The sequence below is a fragment of the Homo sapiens genome, chromosome 9 (genome assembly GCF_000001405.40).
Source record: "Homo sapiens chromosome 9, GRCh38.p14 Primary Assembly".
NCBI lineage: Eukaryota > Metazoa > Chordata > Mammalia > Primates > Hominidae > Homo > Homo sapiens.
The window spans coordinates 95,817,411-95,844,184 of record NC_000009.12 but is presented as its reverse complement, the minus strand read 5'-3'; the positions used below and the strand labels follow the sequence as shown (position 1 = coordinate 95,844,184).

At 43.5% G+C, this 26,774-nt stretch overlaps 1 long non-coding RNA gene across 1 annotated transcript in view, besides 3 other annotated features; it reads left to right on the top strand.

Annotated features, from left to right (window-relative positions):
• Positions 1-26,774, top strand: part of ERCC6L2-AS1 (ERCC6L2 antisense RNA 1) — a 69,890-nt gene that overhangs the window by 31,793 nt on the left and 11,323 nt on the right. The gene's annotated exons all lie outside the window — the stretch shown is intronic.
• Positions 8,667-9,866: an enhancer, noted in NCBI's record as "BRD4-independent group 4 enhancer chr9:98596601-98597800 (GRCh37/hg19 assembly coordinates)". NCBI's record gives its function as "activates an origin of replication core promoter dependent on BRD2, P300/CBP, MED14 and CDK7 cofactors, and independent of BRD4, by STARR-seq in HCT116 cells {active_cell/tissue: HCT116}" and the evidence as "EXISTENCE:reporter gene assay evidence [ECO:0000049][PMID:35650434]".
• Positions 20,892-21,101: an enhancer, noted in NCBI's record as "active region_28642". NCBI's record gives its function as "activates an Ori minimal core promoter by ATAC-STARR-seq in GM12878 lymphoblastoid cells {active_cell/tissue: GM12878}" and the evidence as "EXISTENCE:reporter gene assay evidence [ECO:0000049][PMID:35858748]".
• Positions 24,184-24,478: a silencer, noted in NCBI's record as "tiled region #9073; HepG2 Repressive non-DNase unmatched - State 22:ReprW, and K562 Repressive non-DNase unmatched - State 21:Repr". NCBI's record gives its function as "represses a minimal TATA promoter and a strong SV40 promoter by Sharpr-MPRA in HepG2 and K562 cells {active_cell/tissue: HepG2 | K562}" and the evidence as "EXISTENCE:reporter gene assay evidence [ECO:0000049][PMID:27701403]".

The window sequence follows — 26,774 nt, the reverse complement described above, 5'->3', positions numbered from 1 at the left end:
AAAAAAATAACTCACAAAGTGGGAAAAAAAATTGCAGATCATCTATCTGATAAGAGATTAATATCCAAAAATATATGAAGAACTCCTACAACTCAATAGAAAAAGACAAACAATCCAATTCAAAAATGGGGTAACTTGGCCGGGTATGGTGGCTCACAGCTATAATCCCAGTGCTTTGGGAAGCTGAGGCCGTTGGATCACTTGAGCTCAGGAGTTTGAGACCAGCCTGGCCAATATAGTGAAACCCCGGCTCTACTAAAAATACAAAATTAGCCAGATATGGTGACCCGTGCCTGTAGTGTCACCTACTCTGGAGGCTGAGGCAGGAGAATTGCTTGAACCTGGGAGGTGGAGGTTGCAGTGAGCCAAGATGGCACCATTGTACTCCAGCCTGGGTGACAGAGCGAGACTCCATCTCAAAAAAAAAAAAAAAAAAAAGAGAGAGACGACTTTAACAGATATTTCTTCAAAGAATATATACAAATGACCAAGAAACATAGGAAAAAAGCTCAATATCATTAGGAAAGTGCAAATCAAAACCACAATAGGATGTAACTTCACATCCATTAGGATGGCTGCTATCAAAAAAGTAGAAAACAGCAAATGTTGGCAAGGATGTGGAGACATTGGAACACTTGTGTCTTGCTGGTAGGAATGTGAAATGGTGCTGCTGCTGTGGAAAGCAGATTGGCAGCTCCTCAAAAAGCTAACAGAGAATTATCCTGTGATCCATCAATCCCCATTCTCAGTTTATACTCAAAAGAATTGAAAGCAGGGACTCAAAGAGATGTTTGTACAATGTTTATAGCAGCATAATTCATGATAGCCAAAAGGTTGAAACAACTCCAATGGCCATCAACAGATCAACGGCTAAACAAAATATGGTATATACATACAATGGAATATTATTCAGCCTCGAAAAAGAGTGAAATTTAGATACATGTTTCAACCTAGATGAGCCTGAAAAACATTATACTAAGTGAAAAAAAACAGATACAAAAAGACAAATACTGTATGATTCCACTTATGTGAGGTACCTAGAACAAACAGACAAATTCACAAAAACAAAAAGTAGAATAGAGGTTACCAGGGACTAAGGATGGGGTTGGGGGAATGGGAATCTATTGCTGAATGGGTATAGAGTTTCTGTTTGGGATGATAAAAAAGCTGTGGAAATGAGTAGCAGTGATGGTTGCTCAATATCATGAATATATGTAAAACCACTAAATTGTACACTTACAAGTGGTTCAAAGGGTAAATTTTATATTATGTATATTTTACCACAATGAACACACACACACACAAACAGAGAGAGAGAGAGAGAGAGAGAGAGAGAGAGAGAGAGATTGCTGGGTCCTATTCCCAGAGTTTCTGACTCCGTAGGTCTGGGCTGGAGCCAGTTCTTTTTTCTTTCTTTTTTTTTTTTTTTTTTAGATGGAGTCTTGCTCTGTCACCAGGCTGGAGGGCAGTGGCGCCATCTCGGCTCACTGCAAACTCTGCCTCCCGGGTTCAAGCGATTCTCCTCCCTCAGCCTCCTGAGTAGCTGGGACTACAGGCGTGTGCCACCAAGCCCAGCTAATTTTTGTATTTTAGTAGAGACAGGGTTTCACCATGTTGGCCAGGATGGTCTCGATCTCTTGACCTCGTGATCCACCCACCTCGGCCTCCCAAAGTGCTGGGATTACAGGCATGAGCCACCATGCCCAACCCAAGAATTTACATTTCTAACAAGTTCCCAGGTAATGCTTATGCTGCTGGCCTAGAAACCACACTTGAAGAAACCACTCCTTCAGAAAATAGTTCTTGTCTCCCAAGAGGAGAAGGAATGCGAAAGAGGATTTTAAAGAAAGCTTCCAAATTGTGGCCAACTCTGATAGAAGATCATAGACACTTGAAACTCAGTGCTGAAGAGGATGCTGTAGTCATGCCCAGGCTCAATGGGAAAGAGCTCCAGGATGAGGGGGGCTTGCATACCATGGGACGGGGGAGGAATTGACAACAAAGATCCACATATTTATCATCCACAAGGTTGGTTGGTCTTAATCTTGTGCTTGTCGTATCCATTTTATAATACAATCACATTCGTACACTTGACTTTAATTTACATCACAGAGTTATATGTCTTTGATGCAAGACTTCAGCAAAATGGCCCAGCCAGGGTGTTAGGGTTTTCTGGCACTCTACCCATGGAAGAGGAGAGGATTGGAATGAAGAGAGGAAGGCACAAGGGAGAAAGCTGACATATGGAATCAAGTTGGAGAAAATAGTGGGAAATAGAAAAGTGTGTGCAAAGATTTATTGTGAATTCCTAAGTACTCAATTAAAAGCAGACCAAAACTTGAGAATTGGGTTGAAGGCTAAGGACTGTGAGTGGGGAAAGGGTGGACAATGCATTTTCAGGGACCAGCCCCATCACTGGCTCAGGGTTTCCTAGGCACGGCTCTTCTCAGGCAAGCTGTGCTGGAAGCCTGGATTACATCTGGAATTCAAGAACTCTCCCTGTTTCAAATACAGCCTAGAGAACACAGGTGGTCCACAGGCTGCATTTTTGCCACCCACAACTTTGGGCCACATTTAGAGGAGCCAGTGAAAGAATCAATCTGCTGAGTCAGAAGAAAATTCAACAAGCTCTTATCCAAATAGGCACTCGTACGTGTTGCCATATTAAAGATGCAAGTGGTCCCATTAGTAATAAACTCTTCAGACACAAAAGGCATTTGTGTCACAAATTCTGTACAAGTTATAAATAGAGGGAAAAGCATCTGGGAATGTGAAGTCAAGAGTCCTGTGTTTTGACTCTAGCTCAAGTGCAGACCAAAAACATAGGCGTTCACCTCTCAGTTCAGTTTAACAATATTTCTCAAGGATCTATCTGTGAGGCACTTGGATGCATGGTCTATAAATAAGACCAAGTCCCTTTCTTGAAAGTGCTTAAAATCTAATGAAGGGGAGGGAGATAAATACACAAATCAATGGATTCAAGACAGGGTATTGAAGATGTTATGAGAGTAATACAAGTAAAACATTGACCAAGTTAAAAAGGACAAAACAAAACAGCAAGTAAGGTGTTAACTCCTCCATATTCCATTAGAATACTCTTAGCATGCCCAGTTCCTGACACAAAAGTAGGCATTTGATAAATGGCTCTTTGAGTAAATTAAATGAGCATTATCTCTTCCCAGACCTAAACAGCCCACCAATGACCTAGTTTACAATTTATGCACTGTTAATTTGCCTAATTAGACCCAGTATCTACTTCTGTGCCACAAAATCATATGATTAGAGCATTAACAGTCATGAAACGCTTTATAGACCTGGACTTCTCCAATCGAGGACATTACAATCTACTAAATAAAGAATAACTTGAAGAGGGATTTAAATAGAGGAGGGTATTGAGAAAGCCATAAATTTAGTAAAAGAGAAGTTAAAATCGGCACGTGGGGTTCATAGCATTAAAGGACATGATTTACCTCTGAAACTCATGTTTGTTTCTACCAGATGAGCAGGAAGAGATTCCAAAGAGGAAAAGATGATTAGAAGTAGGAATAACTAGCTTGGGCAAAGTGGCAAGACCTCCATCTCTTTAAAAAAAAAAAAATGGCTGGGTGTGGTGCTGCACACCTGTAGTCCCAGCTACTCAGGAGTCTGAGGTTGCGGTGAGCTATGCTCATGCTCATGCCATTGCACTCCAGCCTGGGTGACAGAATGAGACCTTGTCTCAAAAAAAAAAAAAAGAAAAAGAAAGAAAGAAAAATTATGTATGAATCAATCAGCCAAGTTTCTCTTAGCATCCAATTCATATCATGTATCATACTTGGCACACTGACCCATTTTTGTAGGAGTTCAAGACAGAATGTTCCTGTGAATTGAAATTCTTTCATTTTGCACACTGGAGGGTCATTCCTGCAGATTAGGCTTCATGAGCTTGGCAAAATGGAGCCCGTGTTGCAAAGGAAAAGCAAAAGGAGTTGAGCTGCTTGGAATTTCTTGGCAGTGGAAAATCTTTTCAAAAACAAGCATCTTCAAGGCAGTGTTCTCAAAAGTTACGAGGTTCTACATATATTTTAGCAACATGCTTTTAAAGGAAAAGCCCAAGACTGATGATTTCTGTTCTACTGAAGAATACAATATATAGTTATGGTTCTTAATCTTACTGTGCAAAATTAATCTCACATTAAGCAGGCATGAGAACAGGGCCAGTGAAACTGATGCAGCAAAGAATAGTGAATAGGAGGAAATCAAGCGTTTGATAGAACATTGTGATATAATGTTGCAATGCAGGATTTCTTTATCTACTTCATAGTTTTTAAAATAATAAAATTACAATTCCTTTCACTCCTCTGTATAAGGTATCTGTGTTTAATGCATGACTATTTGACAAATAAGTAAACGCCTAAGCAACTAACATGCTGATATCACAGTTTACCATATAATTTATCAGGTAACAATAGGCATTCCTTCAGCCACTGACCAGGTGTTCATACCTGAGAAAATTGCCTAGTTTCTCTGAGCTTTCATTTCTGTCTTAGTTTGTGTTTCCCTTGTGGCACACCCTGAAGTAAGGCCCTTATTTAGGAGGCATGCTAGAGGCAGTTTGTCCTGGCTGAGGAGAGCTGACAGTGCTGTCCTTCCCAGATTCAGGGATGTCCCATTGAGAGCTTGAAACAGGCCATGGTGGGAGCATAGACACTGTGGAGACCAGCAGCTGCTTCACACAGGGGCTGTTTCTATTCCACTTGTTGTTTTCCTCTGTATTTTGAGCACTGGTTTACTAGCGTGCCGCTGGTATGGGAAAATCAGCAGAGGAGTGGAGGAGTAAGACAAGGAAGGGAAAGCCTCCAGTTAGGGGACATTTTAAAGCCTACTATCCCTAAAATTAAGCTAGAGATTACTTCTGTGAGGAAACTCTGAGAAATGTTATAGGACACATTGCAAATTTCACCTGCCTGAGGATAGAGGGAGCTGGGGTATTTATACACCAACTGCAATCTCATTGTAAAGACTGCTGGGGTGGAACGGTTGATTCCTCTGGCACATCTGCCTCCAGTGAGTGGGAGGAGTGGCCTTGCCCATCCTCAGCAAAGAGATGCAGCTCCCATCAGCCATCAAGTGGCAGGCCAGCACTGAAGTGATAGAACCCAGGAGTATGGGTGGGGCACCAAAACAGCATCTGCTACAATTGCTTTGCCCATAGATTTTAAAAAGTCAACCATCTCACATTAGCTTAATGGGAATATCCTAATGTAAAAAGTAGATATAATTGTATTATTTTATAGAAAGTGAGAAAGACAAGAGAAAGATAAGAGAAAGACAAGATGTTTAGTGCATCATCATCATCATCATAAAAATGACAATGATTGACAATAACCCATTGATCTAGAAAACAAGAGGAACAAAATTTTAAAAATCCCTAACAGAAAGCCTAGTTAATGTTCATGAATAGGATGTCAGCACTGGGGACCAGCAGTTTGCAAGGCCATGGAGTATACATTTTGGAGCATAGGTAAAGACTCCCACCTAAAATGACCTCCTCCTCTGGACCATTCTGACCCCTAACATTTGCCACTTTGGTTCCTTCACTGAGTGTGGCACATAAAAGGCCCTTGGTGTTGATGAAAGAGGTCACTTTGAAATAATACACGAACCCACAAGCTTTACCGAGAGCCTCGCCATGATGGTTTTGTCACAATGCTGGGTGCTAAGGAAATGGACAACAGGAAATTTTTACAGTGGAAGAAGATTGGAAACTATTCAGAGCATGGAATCTTGGGTGAGGATGACTGATAGAAATAGAGGCCAATGACTTAGCCGGGGCCAGATGATGTGCAACCTTATAGACCGGATAGAATTTAATTTGGATTTTATTTTCTTAGATGTGACATGATCTGACTTACACCTTAAAAGGATCACTTTGGCTCCTGCAAACAAAATATAAAGGGATCAGGAATGGAGTGGGAGACTAGTGGGAGTATTGCAGGAATCCAGGCAAGGGCTCTCAGGGTGGAGACAGTGAGACAGGATAGGGTTCAGACCCTGCTGTGAAAGTAGCTAGATGGGATTTGCTGAGGGATAGAATATGGGGTGTGAAAGGAGAAGAGAAATTAAAGATGATGCCGAGGGTTTTGGCAAAGACACTGGTTGGAAGTGCTAAACTTGCTGAAATGGAAAGACTGGGATTTGGGGGAGGATAGGTTAAGGGTAGCAGGAAATTAGTTCCGTTTTAAACATGGGAATTAGGCCTGGTAATAGAGATGTCCAATAGGCAGTGAGGAGTGGCCCACATTTTCCTCAAAGACCTCAAGAGTTTTGCATCTGTTCTGGTGTCTCAGAGTCCAGTACTTTAGAATATGCAAGAGATAACTTTGCCTAGAATTTGCAGGACAAGTTTTTTTGTTTGTTTGTTTTGTTTTTTTTTTTGTTTTGTTTTGTTTTTTGAGAGGGGCCTTGCTCTTGTTGCCCAGGGTGGAGTGCAATGGTGCGATCTCGGCTCACTGCAACCTCCGCCTCCCGGGTTCAAGTGATTCTCTTGCCTCAGCCTCCAGAGTAGCTGGAATGACAGGCACCTGCCACCATGCCCCGCTAATTTTTGTATTTTTAGTAGAGACGGGGTTTCACTATGTTGGCTAGGCTGGTCTCGAACTCCTGACCTCAAGTGATCCATCTGCCTCAGCCTCCTAAAGTGCTGGGATTACAGGCGTGAGCCACTGCACCGAGCCAGGACTTTTTTTTTTTGAAACAGAGTCTCTCTCTATTGCCCACACTGGAGTGCAGTGTCACTATCTTGGATCACTGCAACCTCTGCCTCCTGGGTTCAAGGGATTCTCATGCTTCAGCTTCCCAAGTAGCTAGGATTACAGGCATGCACCACCATGCCTGGCTAATTTTTGTATTTTTAGTAGAGATGGGGTTTCACCACATTGGTCAGGCTGGTCTCGAACTCCTGACCTCAAGTGATCCCCCCACCTCGGCCTGCTAAAGCATTGGGATTATAGGTGTGAGCCACTGTGCCCAGCCCAGGACAAGTATTTTTAATTGCTCACTCTCATAGGCTAAATTCTGTCCTCCCCCAAATTCCTATGTTGAAGTCCTAACCCCCAGTACTTCAGAATGTGACTGTATTTGGAGATACAGTCTTTAAAAAGGTAGTTATATTAAAATGAGGTCATTAAGGCTCTAATCCAATCTGACTGGTGACCCTATTAGAAGAGGATATGAGGACACAGACTCACAGAGGGAAGATTATGTGAAGACACAGGGAGAAGACGCTGCCTACAAGCCAAGGAGAGAGGCCTCAGGAGGCACCTGCCCTGCTGACACGTGGAGCTCAGGCTTCCATCTTCCAGAACTGTGAGGAAACAAATTTCTATAATTGAAGCCACCAAATCTGTTGTACTTTGTTATAGCAGCTGTAGCAAACTAATAACACTCACTTTGCCCATTAAAAATTTGAATTCCTAAAAACTGTATTTTTTACTATATGATATCTGTTTTCAAGCAAAATAATAGTCTGTTGGAATTGAACTCTCTACTTCTACAGAAGAAACAAACAAATAAATAAAATTGGCCTGTTCATTGGAATTATTTGTATTTTCCATCTGAATGCTAAAGCCTCTGGACTAACAATAATTCTGCTTTTTACATTGAGTGCTTTTTCTAATAACACTTATCCAACAAATTGATTGTTTCTCATGATAACTACTGGATTATATTATTAGAAACCATGACATTGACATGTAGCATCATTACACAGATTTAAGCTTAATGGAAATGAAAGCTAGGGCACTCTCCTATTTTATACCATAGAAGCTTGGAATCTGATTTTTATTATTCTAATCCACACTGCTTCTATGAGTGGTGTAACCAACCACATAGGCTTTGACAGAATGTTTGTATTCTGGAATTTTCTGAGATCATACAGGTTAGCCGACAGCATGAGATGAATAAATGTGAAGGAATGTTTCAAAAACCTTCTCAGTAAGAGAAAGCCAAGTGTAGGAAAAATCTGCAGAAAAGTGGTTGTCATTAAATGAAGGCTACTTAACCTCATACAATGTAGTAGATGAAGATATCTGCATCTTGTTGAGAAGAATTCTTATCTAGAGTAGGGACACTGATTCATGCATTACCGAAGGAGATGGAAAGTAGGTCTTCTGACAATGTGATGGGTGATATGAGTCCATTCTGAAGCAGCCATTCCTGTTCTTTCATTATGGTGGATCATTATTTAAGATCTAGGACCATAGCAGGAGGGAAACAGCTCTGGAGGCTTCACTTAGTGCCATTTTCTAAGTTATCACTAGTAATCATTTACCTTGTACTGAGGACGGGTAGAGGAAAGAGCTACCAGACTCCAGCAATGAAACACTTATAATATCACACTGGATCCTTCTCCTGCACCACTGTGTCCCCAAATCTTTATTCATTGGCAGGCTATGTGGCTGTCTCCCTCTGAGATTTAATTTATTTCTGTTTTTTAAGACCAGTTTATTTTCAAAAGTAAATACATTTCTGTTTGTTTTGGGAGTTTTCATTAAGAGGCCGACTTTCTTACTTTGCCAGACTATTTGTTCCAATCGTGTCTATTAAATCAAGAGAGAGGGTTGCCAGGCATGGGGTAGTCACAGCTTGCTTTAACTGTCTGTTAAACTGTCCATTAATCTGCCTAGCAAGGAAGCTACTCCCTTGAAATAATTGAATTGAGGCCCATGAATTCTCTGCTCCACCAAATAAGTTTTATAAACTTGTGGATGCCTCATTTTATTTCAGTTTCATTAACCTTTATATTTATTTTACACGCATGATTAGCGAGACTTAGGAACCTCAATGTTAAGGGTATTTTAAGTAGGAATTGATTATTTTTCAGCCCATTATATGGGCTCATTATAAATAATTCCCAAATCTGATCTCTTGATGAGAGATGACAGTGAAAGTCTCTTTGCACTTCTCTGCCAATGACCAACATTACTTTGTGATTATACGTGAATTTGGGCAAGTGTTTTCTTCTCCGAGTCCTCCTCTTCTGATTCCTAAAATTGCCTAGTTTTTCCACGTTGGTTACTTATTGGTAAAACCTTAGCAGAACCATTGCCCACATCAGCAATTTAAAAGATTGTTTGCCCAGAGTGTTTGCCCCGGACATGTTTCAGGATGATGGTCATGCAGTTTTGGTGTCTTAACTCCAAGAAGATGCAGAAATGAAAATGGTTACTACATTTCAAATTGTTGTTTAAAGATATGTTACACACGATTTTATAAAAATCAGCTAGGTACCCTGTGGTTGCTGTCTGGGCAGGAGGTAAGATTAAAGTTTTTCCTTTGAAATCTGTTATCATGTCAAACTTTTATCTTTTGGGTTTACTGGAGGAGTGAGGGAAGAAAAGTTCATGTCTCCAGAGTGATAAGAAAACTGTAAACATTTCTTTTTATTGGAGCATGGCCAACAGTTTTATTTTCCTAGAAATTCTAAGGCCTGAGGAATCAAAATTGATTTGGCTAGGAAACTCTGGTGGGTATGTGGGTTTTACCCAAAATGTAAAGGATGTGGATTCTGCCTTTGATGTGCCCTCACTCTCCTCCTCCCTTCAAATGTGGACAATTATGACGTCAGCAACTGGCCACAAAATACTTCCGCAGAGACAGGCTCTATCAGTTACTCTGACCAGGAATCCACAGTCCAAGATGGTGAGCTAGCATTCTATCAGAAAGGCCGCACTCAGGCATTTCTTACCCAACACCTTGGGGCTTCTTGAATTAGCATACTGAAAGTCACAAAATGAGTTTTTATTGGAGACAGTAGTGGCCTGTTGACTGTTATGATACATGCTCTAAATGAGCTCTGAATGGTGAATGTAAGATTTTCAAGAGGCTTGGATTGGCTAAAAGTTTTTTTGTTTATTTTTAAAAACTTCCCTTCCGTTGAATATAAAGGATGTAAGAATGTCTTCTGGTTCACTGTTTTCTCAGTGCCCGTCATATCGGTTTTGGTCAGTAACACCAATTGTTTGAATGGGTGAATGAACGAATGGTTTGCAATCCCATTTCTGTGAGGAAGCTTGATGGCCTTCCATCCAGGAAAAAAGAAAAGTAGCTCAAGTTGTTTAAATTTTCTGACAAAATATCAACCTGATAATCCACACACAGCACCTAATGCATAGGAATCTTTCCACCCAGGCACACACACACTCCTCACTCTCTGGCAACTTGGCGTTGAGTGGAACAAGAACTGGCAGTTCAGCAGCCCTTGCCTAAACCTGCTCAAGATCATTTCTGTTTACAGAAACATATTCTATGAGACATGCTAAGTTTGTACTTAAGGTTTTCAAACCCCTACCTCTATACTAAGTTAGAACTTTAAAAACTCTTTACAAGACAACATAATCTTGCAGAGATTCTTGTGTCATTCCTCGGCCGTATTTGGCATTGCTCAGGCAGAGTGAGCGAGTATACACTTTCTAAGAATAACCCATGTAAATATGTTCTGATTTTTTTTCTGTTGCTATTAAAGAGATTATCTGCAATGTTGCTCTAATACCCTTTGTATCTGGATCTTTTTGACAAACTGTACTTTGAGGTGCAGTTCCAGGAAAATGTCTCTCTTCCAATGAATTAGAGCTCTTCCTCATATCAAACGATGAAGGCCATATATCGTGTTTTCCTTTTTACGTTGGCTGCCAGGAAGCATTCCTCAGCTTTAGCCAAGGCACAGCCACAGACCCATAAAAGCATATAAAGCACATATCTCTGCATCTACCTAGCATGGAGTTGATTGCATATTTAGCAATTATTTAGTGAAAACTATCCATTTCAAAATCTAGATAATTCTATTTGAAATTACAAATATTAATGGTAACTAGTCAAAATATTTGAGGCTGTTGTGTGGAAAACCTAATAAAACATTAATTGGAAAAACAGAGATAATCATTTTTATCTAAGAGTCATATCTGATCTTTCATCAAAATTAATAAGATCAAGCCTAAGATTTGAAAGGTAAAATCTCAGTCGAAAGCCCAGCTTATATTTGATTTTTAAATTGATTTTAAATGGATTAACCCCTCTTAATATTATATATATAATAACAATGATTGCATCCTTTACCTGGATTAGTTTCTTTTGATATTGATCAATTTAATATTTAATCATAAATAAATATAATCAACATTCTTTTCTTCTTAGTCACAAAAATTACTACATGCTTTGGCAAATGGAAAATTATTATTATTATCATTTTTTATTATACTTTAAGTTCTGGGACACACGTGCAGAACATGCAGGTTTGTTACCTAAGTATTCATGTGCCATGGTGGTTTGCTGCACCCATCAACCCGTCATCTACATTAGCTATTTCTCCTAATGCTATCCCTCTCCTGGAAAATTATTATTGTTTTCAGGATTATGTTCATGTCAACCTTTTCTTTCTGCCTTCTACATTCTAATGCCATGTGTCAACCCCAAGCATAGGCTGGGTATACATGGATCTAGGAAAATAGGGATACCCACCTCCAACCCCAATCATAAAACTCAGTTTAAAAGAAAACCCTTGAGCACCTAAAACATTAGGCAATCATCATTGAAACTTCATAACGAACAAGCGCCTTCAGCCCTGTGTCTCTGAGGGTCCAGTTGTTTGGAGGATGCTCAGCTTTGGGGACATTGGATCCTGGGCTACGCGTTGGCTTCCTTGCTTTCCTATCATTCCCCGCTCTCTCCCGCCTTTCCTGTTTCACTGGAGGCTGATCCTCATTAACTTCATTTCCCAAAAGCTCTTTTACCAAATAGTTTCCCTTAGGTTTGGTGAAAGAGGGGAATTGGTTAGAGGCTTGAGGGCAGGAAGAAGGGAGCAGCCAGAATATTCCTCCCCATCCTCTCTGTAGCCCAGCTCCTGGGCTCTGCTGCTGGCTGTGGTTCCCACTCCGCTAAGTCTGGTAACACCACCTCCGTCCTGCGTCCTTCCCACCTTTAGGGTGACAGCAGCTTCCTAGTGTTGCCAGTATCTTTGTTTTCCTTACTGTCTTCTGTCTTCTTTTCCCCTTCAGCTCTATCAGCCCCTTCCTCACTGACCATTTTATTCTCTCTATTGAATCCTTGTTATTGATAAAACTCCAGAGGGACTCCCTGGCCTGGCTTCTGTTTTCCTGATTGGACTTTGATTTACAGGGTTCCCACCCACAGCCCAAGCTGGGTTCACAGAACTCAGCCAAACCTGGCAGCTTGAGAGAGTGCAGAGGGCCCTATTTTACAAAGGCTCAAGGAGCTTCTGAGAAAACAGCCTCAGGAAGGAAAGAATGGACATTGGGTCAGGGTCAGAGAAGAAGCATTTTAGCCAGAGGGGCCTAAAAATAGAGCTTTCTTGGAGGGTGTAATCACAGGCAGCAGGAGTAAAGGGAGGGGAGAAAAGGAATTGAGACAAGGAAAATGGATTCAAATGGAAGGCAGAGGTTTGCCGAGGTGACTACACCTTCACAAGGAGACACAGACACAGATGCCTCCTGGACAGGAGCCACAGAGCCTTCGGAAGAGTCTGTCCATGAATAAGAAGGAACAGGGGATGGAGAAGGGTAAGAATTTATCTGCTGGTTCCTTCCCACCTCCTGGTCTCCTGCCTCTCATTGTTCAAAATGTGCCAGACAGCCAGTTGTTGGGGTTGGGAGATGAGGACACAGCAGGGCTGACTGATGCTCTCCATCCAGCAGGTAGCCCTGGCTGAGGTGGGGTGGAATGAGGCTGGGAGCTGGAGTCTGCTACAGTGACAAGCCCAAACCCAGTGTCTGTCTCACTGATTTTCCTCCAGCTCAGACCTCACAGGCTCGTGCCTGAGTTGTAATGATCACATGCTACAATGACAGAGGGTATAACATCAAAAATTGTTCCACTAAAGCCTTCATGGGCCATTGAGGCCACAGGGTGTCAGCAGCTTTGGCCCCAGTAGCTTGGTCATTTCAAGAGATGGTCCTGGCATCATGGCAGGGATGCCTGGTTGGCAGCCTCTGCAGCCACTGAAGATAGTAGCATCAGCTTTAGCGGCAGGGGTTTAAGGGGCCCTGGGTTTTGGCCATAGCAACTTTGGTGGGAGACTATCCCAATGCAGAAGTTCCTGTGTGTCAGCAGCAATGACTGTGTCTGTGATGACTTCGGTGGCATAACTGATGCTCAGGGCATTGGCAGCAGAAGACACAGCTGGTGAGTCTGAGTGGGAGAGTGGGCCCTGGTGACCCAGCGGCCCCAGGGGATGGAGCACTCTGCATGGGTGACTGGCATCATCAGTCATCTTTTACCCTTAGGTGGGGTGGTTAGACCTGGTGTAAGAAGATTTTGCTTCTTGTTATCAATGCATGGGTCTACTAGGATGAATCACAGAGATACCTCTTCAATCCACCAACCAGATAGGTTCTTTCTATCAGCAATTAGAGGTTTGTTGTTTTTGTTGTTGTTGTTGTTGTTTGTTTTTTGTTTTTTGTTTTTTGTTTTTTTTTTGAGATGGAGTCTCACTCTGTCACCAGGCTGGAGTGCAGTGGCTCGATCTCGGCTCACTGCAACCTCCGCCTCTCAGGTTCAAGTGATTCTCCTGCCTCAGTCTCCCGAGTTGCTGGGATTACAGGCGTGTGCCACCACGCCCAGCTAATTTTTGTATTTTTGGTAGAGATGGGGTTTCACCATGTTGGCCAGGATGGTCTCGATCTCTTGACCTCATGATCTGCCCACCTCGGCCTCCCAAAATGCTGGGATTACAGGCATGAGCCACCACACCCAGCCCTCTTCTTTTTTTTTTTTTAAGACAGGATCTCACTCTGTCGCCCAGGCTGGAGTGCAGTGGTGCAATCACAGCTCACTGCAGTCTCAATCTACTGGGCTCAAGCATCCTCCCTCCTCGGCCTCTTAAAGTGCTGGGATTACAGGTGTGAGCCACTGCACTGATTCAGCCAAAACCCTGATTCTTCCTAAGCAGTGTTTCAAGGTTCCTTTTCCTGAAGCTCCAGTCATCTCGCCTGCATTCTTCAAAGCCCTTAGTGGTTTCATGTCCACAGCTCAGGGAGGCCCAACACCTCAGCCGGTAGTTCTAGTGTGTTGGAGCACCCAGCCATCATTGCCATCGGAACCTTGTTCTCTGCTACTCCCCTTCCATATCCCCAGTCCAGTCAAAGCAAAATGCTTGCTGCTTTGTTTCACCCCACACTGCATCAGCTTTCACACCTCTGCTCATGAAATTCCCTCTGGCTGCATTGCTCTTGCTCCCATTCCTTCACATTCAAACCCATTCCACTCTTCAATACCCAACTCAGTGCCACCTCCTCCACCAAGGTCTCCATGATCTGCCATATCTAACAACTGGACTTCGGGAGCCTTTTCTCTATACCACGTCTGGAATGTAGTGCTAGTATAGCTTGTGTCTTGGCTAATTAATGCATATCTTGTCCCCCATGTAATAAGCCTGTTAATTTTTGGAAGATTCCCCAGGGACCATGTCTGACTTCTTTGTACCCATCCAGCCCAGGGTTGTAAGGCATCTTGCATCTGCCTAGTGGAAGAATATGGACATTTTAAAAATGTTTAAAATGAAATGACTATGTGTAATTCTCCCTCTGCCACCGCCAAATAAGTTCATCATAGTGGGTAACAGTATCCCTGTCTTAATAATATGCTAGCATAATTTAAAGACAAATGTAATCACAGTCATAATCATAGCTTGCAGAATGTCTGAGGGATCAATTATCTTCCTATATTTAAAATCTATCACTCTTGGCTGGGTGTGGTGGTTCACGCCCATAATCCTAGCACTTTGGAAGGCAAAGTGCTAGGTGGGAGGATTGCTAGAGCCCAGGAATTCAAGAACAACCTGGGCAACATAGTGAGATCCCATCTCTACTAACATTTTTTAAAGATTAGCTAGACGTGATGGTGCACATCTGTAGTCCCAGCTGTTTGAAAGGCTGAGGTGGGACGATCACTACAGACCAGGTATTTGAGGCTGCAGTGAGCTATGATCATGCCACTGCACTCCAGCCTGGGCAACAGAGCAAGACCCTATCTCTGAAATAAATAAATAAATAGTAAAATAAAATGTATCACTCTTGCTCAGGTCTACAGCTATATGCACAAAACATGTCAGGGGCGTGCGGAATTAAACTTGTTAAAGAAAGAACTACCACGTTGATTGGAATATTAACATTAAAACAACAACTGAATGTATATGTCAAAAGGAATATGAACTATCTTTCATCCTGAATTCAGACAATCAGAAATGTTATTCTAATCTCTAGATATGTGAATGACTATTAAATAAAGCAAAGAAACAATCCCCCAGTGATAGAGAAAACTTACAATGCAGGACTTCACATTAGTGTAGAAACTGCAGTAAATATCTGTTATCTTGTTCTTGTCCGTTCATTAGTTATACACATATTTATTGAGCTCCTAGTAACTGTCAGTCACCTATGTAAGCACTGGGGATACAATAGTGAACGAAGTCCCTGCTTTCATTGTGCTTCTGTTCACAGGACAAAAACATAAACCAAGTAGCGAACACATAAGTGCAAAAGCTTAATTTTGGGTGGTGCAAATGTTATGAAGAAAACTAAGTAAGATCAGGTGATCTGGTGGTGAGAGACCGAGGTGGGTTCTCCTCTGGAGGGCTGGTCAGGGGAAGACCTCTACAGGGAGGTTCCTTTTATTCTGAGACTTCAGTGTCAAGGAATGAGCCACGAGAAGCTCTGATGCAGGTGTGTTCTAGGCAGAGAGGACAGCAGCGTTTCTAAACTTTCTCACTTTGACATTATCAGCATTTTGGACCAGATAATTCTTTCCTTTGCGCCACTGTCCTGTGCACTGTAGGACACTCAGCAGCATCCCTGGGCTCTGCCTGCTGGATGCCAGTAGCAACTCCCTCACCCCATCCCTAGTTGTGATGGTCAAAATGTCCCCAGCCATTGCCAATGTCCTGGGGGCCAAACTGCCCTGGTTGAGAACCACTGAGGTAGAGTGAAGGCTCACAGTCAAGATCAAGCTTGATGTGTCCAAGGAAATAGAGCAAGGTCAGGAGGTGTTTATTAATGCTTGCTTCCACTGTATGACAAAATCCTCTTCTATGATAATCATGTAGCAATCCAGAGCCATCATTATTTTTTATTTTTTGTAAGTTATAAAATAGCTAGCAATTTAAAAAGAAGACTTTTTTATTTTTGAAACTAAAAACTTGTCAGAGCCACATAGAAAACTGAATTGAAGTAAGTCAACCTCTGTTTTTCATCTTTGCAAGCATTATGGTATCATTGGATCAGATGCACACTGTGCCCAAAGAGAGCTTGAATGGTCACAAACTGTTACACACTTGCTCTCAAAACCAGTGTGTATAGTGGCACCTTCCCCGACTGCTGTGCCTGGGGCATCTCTAAATTAACTTCCATGTAAAATGCAATGTCTATTAAAGCATAAGTAATACAATATGCTAATTTAAAGCTTACCTATACATTGTTAAAATTCCATGTACATTCAGCAATAGCTTATAACTCAGACCAACAAATGCTTTATTTTTCAGGGAAGGAGTATTTTATCACTGAGGTTGTTTAGAATTGCTGGCTCATGGTGATAATAAAAATCATACCAACTGCGATGGTTTTACCAATCTTTTAATATTCTGTGGTCAGTGCACACACTTATAGCCCACACCTAGGGCCGGCCACTCCCATCACTCTGCCCCAGACGGATCAATGAAGGCAGGAGATGAGATCTCCAGTAGGCAGGGGCCAGAGCATATGCAACTTCGGAAGCTACAGTAAACACTTGGGTTTTCATTTTCCTTCCATTTTAAGTGCAGTGGAAAGTTGGTGGAGGGTAGGAAGCAGGGGAGTAAGATAATCTGAATTGTGTTTTCAAATCAAATCATTCTGGCCAGGAAGGAAGCGGGGAGACTGGAAGGGAGATTGACGTGGGAGTCCAGGGGATACCATCCTGCTGGCTGGGACCAAGGCAGATGCGTCCAATGGAGCAATGTGGGAATGCGAGTGGAGGCCGGATATGTTCTGAAGGTGACACGGGCAGGAGGGGCTGTAAATCTGGAGCCCAGGATAGAGGTCAGGGTTAGGGGTTTCATCTGGAGCCAGCGGCATATGCAGTTGTGTTTAAGGGCTCAGGCAGCTAGGGAGAGCGCGGCTAAGGGAGGCCGGCAGCCCTGCGATGTTGAGAAGCCAGCAAGGTGTCTGGAAGGCAAGAGGGAGCAGGGTCGGACAGGATGGGGTGAGGGGCAGGTGTGCAGGAAGAAGGGAGGGGCCACCGGGACAACCTGACAAGAGGCCAAGAGCAGAGAGGACAGATTGGAGACCTGGCTTTGCATTCTGGAGGTGATGGAACAGAAACCCACCTGGGGATGACAAGAGGCAGAGGTTGTGACAATAGAAAAAATTCTTTGCAGACATTTTGCTTTGAAGGAGAGCAAAGAAATTGGAGGAAGATATGGAATATTGATTTCCCTTTCTTTTAGTAGTTCATGAGCTTCTTTTGAGGAATCTCTGCTCTCCCATGCTCAGCACGTATGGTTTGAGAGGGGCTCAGGCCCTATCTCCACTGGTGCACGTGACCCAGCTTGGCCACGTGGAGCGTCACATCCCCTAGCCATGTTATTGGTTAAGAAATAGGCTTGTGACTTGAGTTGGTACAATCCTGAATTTTTTGGGGAGCTACAGGGGACATACTCTCTTTTCCCCTGAGTCTGAATTTCGGAGGATGTGCATCTGGAGCTGCAAGCAGTTACCACACGAGTCCTTAGAACAAGAAGAAATATTCTGGAAAGCAGAAGTGACAGAGAGACTCATCTGCACACTTGAGTCCCTCCAGGCTGCGACTCACTTACCTCTTGAGTCAGTAAATTTCCTTGTTTAAAAAACTTAAGTCAGTTTGAATTAAGTTTCCTGTTTCCTTGCAAGAGAAAGTGTCCTAATAATAAGAACCTTCTATAATAGCTTACAAAGGGCACCCGTACACAATTTCCTTTGTGAAAGGCAAGACAGGTATTGTTTTAGTTTCATAGGGCTGCCATAACAAAATACCACAAACTGGGTGGCTTAAAACAACACAAATTTCTTCTCTCGCAGTTCTAGATGCTACATGTCCAAAATGAAGGGGTCAGCAGAGCCATGCCTCCTCTGAAGGGTCTGGGAGAATGTGTTCCAGGCCCCTCTCCGAGCTGTGGTTGGCAGCTCCTTGCTGTGGCTGCATCACTACAGTCTCTGCCTCCATCTTCACATGGACTTCTCCGCATTTGTCTCTGCGTCTCTTCTCTTCTCATAAGGACACAGTCATGTTGGAGTAGGACCCACCCTCATGACCTCACCTTAACTTAATTAGATGTGTAGTAGGGTTTCTACATAAGTTCCCATTCTCAGTTCCTAAGGCTTAGGACTCAGCATGTCTTTGGGGGGAACACAATTCAGCCCATGACATTGTTATGATTATTCTCACTTTGCATATTATTTAGACTTTGCATAAGTTGCTCAGAATCATAGAGTCAATAAATTGTGGAATAGAGACGCAAACCTAACGACTTCAGTTTGAAGTCACAAATTCTTAAATGGTGGCATCAAATATTTCAGCTTTGATTTTTTTTTAAAGAGTGTAAATTATTGAGAGAGTTTCACAAAATGGTTATTTCTCTTAGACTGTGGAAATTGTACTACATTCCACGTCTGAGTGTGATAAACCTGGACGGTTATTCAGTCTTACCATCATACTTTTGCTTGAGGCCCATGTGTGATCCTTCCCCTGCCCCAACACCACCCAGGGGGCCGAGCCCACTCCTCCATGTGGGGTCCCTAGGGGACAGCTCTCTGCAAACACCCCGAGCACACTGATGTGCCTGTGCTTCCCCAGGGAAGCAGGAGTTCCAGCTCAAAGCCCGCGGGCCACGGGAGCACATCCTGAACTTGGGGTGGTGACGAAACATGGCTGTGCTGTGCCACCGGCTTGGAGATCTGGTGGATGTTAGTGTAAACCAGAAAATTTAAATCCATCAAAAAAAGGAACCGACATTACCTCAATCAGGCAATTTGAATCCTAGAGAGATAGGCAGGCTGAAAGAACCTACATTTCTACAATGCTGAACCCAAGTAGAGATTATGAACTGCGGCACCATTCTTAGTGTGTTTCTCTCTCCTTTTATTTTTAATTTAATTTAATTTATTTATTTATTTATTTTTGAGACAGAGTCTCACTCTGTCGCCAGGCTGGAGTCCAGTGGCTGATCTCGGCTCACTACAACCTCCACCTCCTGGGTTCAAGCGATTCTCCTGCCTCAGCCTCCGGAGTAGCTGGGACTACAGGCGTGCACTACCACGCCCAGCTAATTTTTGTATTTTTAGTAGAGATGGGGTTTTGCCATGATGGCCAGGATGGTCTCTATCTCTTGACCTCGTGATCCACCCACCTCGGCCTCCCAAAGTGCTGGGATTACAGGTGTGAGCCACTGCACCTGGCCTTCTCTCTCCTTTTAAGGATTGTACTCAGGATTACAAGATACTGCACATCAAAAAATGAATCCCAATATGTGGTCAATTGAGGAACTTGAAAATGTCATGCCAATAATAAAAGCTTGCGCACAATAACTGAAGTTAGAAGGAGGTAAATATTGCTAAAATATTGCGGATTTAAAAAGATAATCTAACCCTTTATTATTTTATGTGAGTCTCATGTTCCCAAAAGATAAAAGAATTTAGAAAAAGGCCAGGAAAAGTGGACAATACACCTAAAAGAACACAATCACCAAATTCTATGAAATGCATCCCCTTGAGGGGAGCTTGACCTGAAAATTGTGATTTGGAGTGGGAAAGGGTGTGTCTGAATATGTTTTCATCTTGTGGTCTTTGGTTCTCCTAGGATGCAGTGGAAGAAAATTAGGACACTGATAAAATTTTAAGAGGCATAGAGCCCCCGCGATATTTGAGCAGTGAAAACGCATGGTCATTAGCACAGGTTTCACCATGAGGCTCCCGGGAGGACTCCTGCTTACGCCTCCAGGCTCACACCTCCCTCCATCCCTCCCAGCCTTTGTTTCAAGAACGTCCACTCATTTGTAAACTGTATATTTTGTTGCTCTGTGTCTCCAAAACCCGAGCATATTGCCTGGAGCACAGAAGGCATACAGTAGATATTTGTGGCATAGGTAACTGAATTAATAAAAACTTAGCCATTCAATATAGATTGGATCCAATTTATTTTTTTTTTTCTGATTTCTTTGTATCATAGAGGCTAGGACTGCTGTGGTGGAAAGTAATCATAATAGCTAAATATGTAAGGAGCATGGTTTTCTTGGATAGTTAGAACATGCCCCGCTTTGTCGGACTAGTCTAATGGAGAACTCCAGGGCCATGAGGCTCACTCCCTGAAGAGCAGCAATGTGGGAGGAACTCAGCACTCGGAACCCCGTTGATTATTACCAGGAGTGGAGAAGCTCACTCACATTCTGCCATGTTTGAACACCTGTGTAGCAGGTGGCAAAACAATCAGCTCATACATCATTTTCCAAATCTTGAGCCCTACCCAAATTATATTCCCACAGGATAAAATATTGGTCGTATTTCCTAGGGGCTTCACGCCTGGAGAATAGGAAAGCCCAGGTCCTTTGCTGCCAGCTGGGACAAGCTCTGACGGGTGCCTTATCCTCTTGAGGTCCCTGCAAGATCAGGCTGGCGCCACCCCACGGGTCGCAGCCTGAGATAACCCCTGGTGTGGCTCTTCTCCTCCTCATCATCCTGCTTCCCTCACTCCTGCCCAGCCTTCCCTGGCGCACTTCCTTAGTAAACACCTCCTACCTCCTCTGTCCTCACCTTACAGATTTGTTTCTGGGGAACCTGACCTTACCCACATGCTTACTCTGAGGGACACAAAGCTGTGTGAGGCGCAGTAACAACCCCCAAGGAGCTTTCAATCCAGTTGAACTTGGCTTGAATTGCATCTGTGCTTCTTACAGGAGGGTGGGCCTTCAATAGAGCTAGACAGAGCCTGATGACACAGGCGTTTGGGAATCTTGAGGACAAACCTGTTTTTATAAAAATCTGCCTGCCTCGTGCATGGCAGCAGGTTTGACTCTGGCCTTGCTTCACTAAATTAAGCAAAAACAAGCATTATCAAATGTTTAGATTTCCTGGAGTCTCTGGCTTCAAGTAGCTTGATGATTCATTTCTGACAACCTCATAAAACCAACCTCTAGCCACGTCCAGGCTTAAGCTTTGTGGTGGTGGAGTGGGTTTTCCCTGTTGTATTTTTAACCTAAGAACAGAAGCAATGCTAGCCACACTGATAAAAACAAGTGAAGAGTTAACTTTCAAGATGACCACAGTCAGATGGTAGCGTGGAAGCCACCAGAGCCACTTAATCTTCCCAGATGATGGATCACTGCAGTACCTAAGTCTCTCATGTGGATTTCTGCCACAGTCCTCTGCACACACTCACTAAAGGGATTTGCAGTTCATGGGTCCAACACAGCAGCATGACCATTGGTTGGGCAGGGCCAAAGGCCCTCGAGGCAGAAGGGTTACCAGGAGAGTCACGCAGCCTTTACCGTCGGGATTTGTGAAGACAGTCACAGTTGGCGACAAGGGTTTTCAGAGTTCTTGGTGTTACTTCACCACCCTCCCCTGCTCTGAGCCCACTCTTTCCTCCCCTGTCCTCGTTCTTAGCTCCTGCTGTTGCCTCCTTTTAGCTCTCACACATTCTCCCTTCTTCCGGTTCTGCCCCAGATATTCTCCCAAGCTCTGTCCAAAAAATCACCAGTTTACCCCTTGAAATTATTTCTCAAGAACTATTTTCCCCCAAGAAGTTGCAAGCTGCTGCATCCCACCTTGGTGAGCTGAGAGCCTGGAGATCAAGACCTGGGCGAGCGGCCAGACCCCTCCTGGCTTCATGCTCAAGTCTTTTTTCAGACGCCCTGAGATCAAGAACAAGGGCACATTCTTAGTTCATGGCCTTTTACAAAATGCTACAGATAATGGAATTTAGATGATGCAACCATTTTACTTGGAGTAGAATGTGTTTTTAGCTGAGGGGGTTTTCAGGGGAAACACATTATTTAGGTTTAGAGGGTATCATGCTTGTCAAAAGCAATTAAATGGGACATAGAGCCCTCAAAGAAATGTTCAAATATAATCTGGACATGGTTTGGGTATCTGAATAAATGTAAACTTGACCAAGCCTTCTTGTTTAAGAAATATAGCCTAAAACATACTACTCTTGATAAAAATTGAAGTTACTAAAATGTTCTGATTTAACGTTGCTTCCACCGGCTAGTTGTTGCTTTATAAATGTCATTTGCCATGTAATTCCAAATGACTTTACAGACTACAGAGCATGGGATTATTGTGTCAAAAGGAGGCTTTCATGATCTCACATAAGCCAGAAAGACTTTATTTAAACTTACGTAGGAAGATGTATTGGTTGTTTGGCCCAAGAAGGTCTTATTTGAATGACAGCATTTAGGGGACCACATGACATTTCTATAAAACTAGACTAGAGTTGATAACAGATGAAGGATTAATTTGTTGTTTTTGTAGTCAATATAGTCCCAAACCATGGATATATTGCTTAGATCCACTTATACCATCAAGCCAGCCCAAGACAAAATTACTACTCTAGTTGTCTAGCATAACCAACTACTCCAAATTTAGTGACATAAAATAGCCTTTATAGTAGGCTTACAGATTCTGTGGATTGAGAATTTGGAAAAGACAGAGTAGAGATGGCTTGTCTCTGTTCTGTGGTGTCTGGGGCCTCAGCTGGGAAGACTGGAACAACTGAGGCTGGAGGATTTACTTTGAAGATGGTGTCTTCTCTCGCATGCCTAGCTGGGCTGCTCCAAGCCGGACTTACTGGGACTGTTGACCAAACCACTTACAAGTATGGGGCCTCTCCACGTGGCTTGGGCTTCTCATAGCACGGCTGATAGGTTCCAAGAGGAAACATTCTAAGAGCAAGTATTTCAAGCACAAGAGTCCAAGAGACTAGAAGAGATAGAAGCGGTGTCACTTTCTCTGACCTAGCAGCGGAAGTTATATAGTCACTTTCTTCATACTTATTGTCTGAAGCAGTTGTAAGCCCATACAGAATGAAGGGGAGAAGTCAATGAGGGGAGAGTAATATGTGGCCATTAAAAAAAAAAAAAACAACCCCACTATCATGGTTTTGGCAAGATGGAAAAAACACGAGATTGGCTTTGAAGTCAAATTCCTCTGTTTCTAAATGAGTGACCTTAGGCAAGTTACTTGACCTCTTCCTTCTTGTACAAATGTGGGTAAGTAACCACAACGTTGCTGTGAATAGGCACGAATCTGTAGTAAAGTGTATCTGTGGTTCATAAATGGCTGGCTAATGCTAGTCCGCTAGTACTACTCCTATTTTTTTTTTTTTTTTTTTGAAGCGGAGTCTCACTCTGTCGTCCAGGTTGGAGTGCAGTGGTGCGATATCAGCTCACTGCAAGCTCCGCCTCCCGGGTTCACGCCATTCTCCTGCCTCAGCCTCCCGAGTAGCTGGGACTACAGGCGCCCACCACCACACCCGACTAATTTTTTGTATTTTTAGTAGAGACGGGGTTTCACCATGTTAGCCAGGATGGTCTCGATCTCCTGACCTCTTGATCCGCCTGCCTCAGCCTCCCAGAGTGCTGAGATTACAGGCGTGAGCCACGACACCCGACCCTCTTTTTCTTTGTTAAAAAAAGTACAGTTTTATCAAAATACAATTAACGCAATAAGGTACATATATTTAAGCTGTACGATTTGGTAAATTTTGATGTATGAATTATACCCATTAAACCATCAGCACATAGAAGGCAATGAAAATATCTAGCAACCCCAAAAGTTCCGTCCTCCCTCTCCTCACGTCATCTCTCCTCGCTCCTCCTTCCACTCCTCATCCCTGGCAACCACGGACTCATCTGCTTCCCATTATAAGGCTGGGCTTGCATCTTCTGAAGTGTTGCGTGAGTGGAGTCACATAGCAGTACTCCTGTCTGACTTCCTCACTTAGCATACATTATTTCAGATTCTCCATGTTGTGTGTATGGTTCATCCGTAATTCTTTCTATTGTTAAATATTATTCTGTTGTATTGATATATCAGGTCATTTTCATCCATTCATTGTTCTTTCCTCTTCCTTTTTGTTTCTTAATCACTTTTGCCTCCCTTTTCGGGCAGGAGCATCCTTGATCTCCCTCCCATAGCGCCACCCAAGTCTGCCCTCACAGCACTGTTGAGAAGGCGGCGTCTCCTGGGTCCCTCCATGGAGGAGAGGCGTGCAGTCGCACCTACAGAGGCCACCTACTAGGTCACGCCTCAAGCCTGGCCTTTCCTCTCGGCTCAGCTCTGTTAGAATTCCAAACCTCCCCTCTTCTGACACCTGAGGGAGGCACTGACAGACATTCTTTAAGCCCTCAGGAATTTCCTTTTCCTTTAAAGAAAGAGAAATAGAATTCCAAGTAAGGGCGCTACAGGAGAGGATTTTCCTGCAGGATGTAATTATGTTCTTTCTGCTTCCTATCCTCACTGGGCATCACAGCAGCAGAGGTGCATGCGTTCTGGAAGGTAAAGGGTGCCTGCAGCACCGGCTTCTTTTTCTGCCACACATCTTTTAGCATGGGACCCACATCTACTCCAGCCCAAGAGCAGTTTCACTCATGGCCGGAGCCAAAGAACACACAGAAATCTCCAAATGCTGGGGGTGGTAAGGGCAGCGTTGCATCCAATTATGGTGAGAGAGAGGTGTCCTTCTTTCTCTTTTATTAAATTATTTTGAGATGAAGCTTCCCTCTGTCACCCAGGCTGGAGTGAAGGCTCTTTGCCTTCTCGACTCACTGCAACGTCTGCCTCCCAGGTTCAAGCGATTCTTCTGCCTCAGCCTCCCGAGGAGCTGGGATTACAGGTGCGCGATACCACACTCTGCTAATTTTTAGTAAAGATGGGGTTTCGCCATGTTGGCCAGGTTGATCTGGACCTCCTGACCTCAGGTGATCCGCCCGCCTCGACCTCCCGAAGTGCTGGGATTACAGGCATGAGCCACTGCACCTGGCATGTCCTTCTTTCTCTCTTGTAGTTGTTGCGATTCTCCAGGCCCCTGCCGGAACTCCTCACTGGCGTCCCTGCTGTGACCCTAATCTCCCCAGGCTCACCTCCACACAGGAGTCAGAGATATCCTGCTAGAAGCATATTGGGTCACCCACTCCCCACTCAGAATCTGACAATGGCTTCCTGTTGCACTTGGAGGAAAATTGAAGGTCCCTGCAATGGCTTACCAAGACATAGGATCAGCCTTAAGTCCTCAGACGGACCTCATCATCTGCCTTGCTGCCTTTAGAGCTGGCCAGGTGACACGTACGGTCACCCAGGACCCCAGCCTGGAGAGGCCCCACACTCGGGTCATTGTTCTGCTGTTGCCTTTTTGAAGGTTTAAATAATTTTTGAACATGGGACCCTCCATTTTCATTTTGCACTGGGCCTTGTAAATCTTATAGCGACTCCAGCCACATAGGCCTCCACTGATCCTCAGTCAGGCCAGGCACATCTCAGCTCCCTCAGGGGTTGGGCAGTGGGCAGCCCGTTCCCTCTGCCAAGGAAGCTCATTCAAGAGATGTGTACCTAGCTGCTTCTCTCGTTCACTCAGGGCTCAGGTCAACTGTCTCGCCAGCAGCTGGGAGCCACAGATCATTCTGTAATCCCAGAACTTTGGGAGGCTGAGGCGGGAGGATCCCTTGAGCCCAGGAGTTCAAGACCAGCCTGGGCAACATAGTGAGACCCCAACTCTAAAAAATATATATATATTTATATGTATATATTATATATATAGTTATATATTTTTTTTAGTAGTGGAGTGTGGTAGCACAGTCCTGTCATCCCAGCTACATGGGAGGCTGAAACGGAGGATCGCTTGAGCCCAGGAGGTCAAGGCTACAGTGAGCTATGACTGGGTCATAGCACTCCAGCCTGGGCGACAGAGCAAGACCCTGTCTCAAAAACAAAACATAAAACAAAAACAAACGAACAAAAAACCCAATGTCTCCCCAGAAGAGAAAACTTCTCTGACCACTATGTCATGGTGTCAATGCCCCTCAGCTCCCATGGCCATCTCCTTTGTTAAGTGCCACCTGTCTCAGCCTGGCTTGATGTTCTATAGTTATTAATTTAAAGTTGGTTCTTGTTTTCCCCATGTAAGGTCCTTGAGGGCAGGGACATTGTCTGACTTGTTAATTTCTTTTTTCCGGGGCCTAACACAGGGACGTAGATGTTCCTCAATACATTTTTGTTGAGTTAATTTTTACCTCCCAGCCATAGCATGAATGGTGACATCTCACCAGGAGCACGTTTTAATCCTATGAATTTGGCTGTGAGAGAAGTTCAGAGCACACATTTAAAGATACATTGTTTTATTTTAATTGTGGTCAATTGGCTTTTCTCAGACTACCATAAAGTCACATTTATCTTAATCTCTTTGCCTTTTTTTTTTTTCTCTCTCTTTCTCTTCTCCTGGTTTTCTATGACTCTAGTTCTGTGTTTTAAACATTTCAAGGTATGGAAAAGTTGAGATTTTTTTTTTAACTATGAAGAGAGAAGTCATGCATGGAGGCTCATGCCTGTTTCTCTCTTCCAAGAAAAGAAAAAGAAGAAAGAAAGAAAAAAGGAAAAAGAGAGAAACAAGATAAGGCACGGGAAATATCCGAATAACCCCCCAGATGGCTCTGAGCTGGACAGTCTCAGCTGGAGAGGGCGGCAGCTGCCTGGTGTCCTGACTACAGGTCCCAGGGCCCTGCC